The sequence below is a fragment of the Homo sapiens genome, chromosome 5 (genome assembly GCF_000001405.40).
Source record: "Homo sapiens chromosome 5, GRCh38.p14 Primary Assembly".
Lineage (NCBI taxonomy): Eukaryota > Metazoa > Chordata > Mammalia > Primates > Hominidae > Homo > Homo sapiens.
The window spans coordinates 118821678-118823120 of NC_000005.10; the positions used below are offsets into that span (position 1 = coordinate 118821678).

At 40.3% G+C, this 1443-nt stretch overlaps 1 annotated feature.

Moving 5' to 3' along the window:
* Positions 671 to 1198: an enhancer, noted in NCBI's record as "NANOG hESC enhancer chr5:118158043-118158570 (GRCh37/hg19 assembly coordinates)". NCBI's record gives its function as "activates a minimal SCP1, AML or CMV promoter by ChIP-STARR-seq in naive H9 embryonic stem cells {active_cell/tissue: H9 hESC(naive)}" and the evidence as "EXISTENCE:reporter gene assay evidence [ECO:0000049][PMID:30033119]".

Sequence of the window (1443 nt, forward strand, 5' to 3'; positions counted from 1 at the left end):
TGAATAAGTCTGTGATAAAACCAAAGCAAGAATTATGTCCCATCTATCACCTGCCTTAGGACTAATGATTGCATATTTTGGTAAGAGGAATATGGGACCATGATTAGAAGTGGACTAAGGCAATACTCACTTTCTTCTATTTATGATCAACTTAGTGTGTGAGAGATAAAGGTGAAGTAGGCTGAGAATGCAGTGAGGCTCTACAGAAAGGTAGCTGGCCTCTTGGAGAAAGACGATTTAGCAAACATGTGTATAGAATGATGAGGTGATAGAACAGAGCTAAAGGCCAAGGTACCACCATATCATATATCTGTAACCCTAAGGCTTAGATCCTAACTCCTGGTCTTGCCAGGGGAAGGGCTAGTGTTTCCCCCCAATAATTCATCTTCTAAACCCCACATACCAAGAGCTGAGTATCTTGCTAGGAGCCTACCATCCAGCCATGTTACATGCCATGTTATATTTCTGTGCACAGTTCCAGAGGTAAAGGACAATGAGGAACTGCATACCTCCTACTGCTCCTCTCCTCTAAGTTTTCTCCAACAGATGTTATTACAGGCCTAGGTGCACTGTCAGGTGACTCAATCTTGCAAGGCCTTTAAACGACCTAGCAGAGGCTTCAGAAAGGAAGCGAGGAGAAGCTCAATATGCAGGTTGAGGCTTCAAATCAGAATGATGAAAGGAGAGACTTTGTGGTTTGAATATGATCAAGCCCAGTTCCCTAGGACTGAAGGTTAAATGTTGATTAAGGCAGGACAGAAATACAGCCACAAATGCATTTACTAGCAATTCCCCTGAGTCAGAACTCTCAGTAATAGGTGAAAAAACAAGGTCCAATGAAAGGAAAGTGAGCTGGGATTCACAACTAACAGTGGGAAGCTTATTATTTTTATTGTAGAAAAGCAGACTGCCTAATGCAAAGAATGCCGCAACATCACAACCTGCAGCTAGATCATCAGCAAAGATCAGTTAGTAAAGTCTTACTATTGTTCTTCTACATTCCTGCTGTTTCAGGTCAGCATAAAAATGACTGATTATAATACTGGTCAAAAAACAGTAAGTTTTCCTTGAAAGGTATTTTGTCCCGTTAAAAGCAGTTTATACAGATAAAGTCATGTCAGTGTAGGGCTTTGAGGCTCTCTGGAAGGTTTAAAGTAAGAAGAAATGATGTCCACCAACTAGGCATGAACTGGTAAATTGTCTAATCACCCACAAGATGCTTGAAAAATTTTTAATTCAAAATTTTTATAAAGTAAAGATGGGGTTTTGCCATGTTACCTAGGCTGGTCTCAAATTCCTGTGCTCAGGCAATCCACCCACTTTGACCTCTCAAAGTGCTGGGATTACAGGCATAAGCCACTGAGCCTGGTTAAGATCTGTAAAAATTTTCAACGTGAAAATGTTGAAAAGGTGACTTAGTTCATTAAGAAAGATTGGATTATT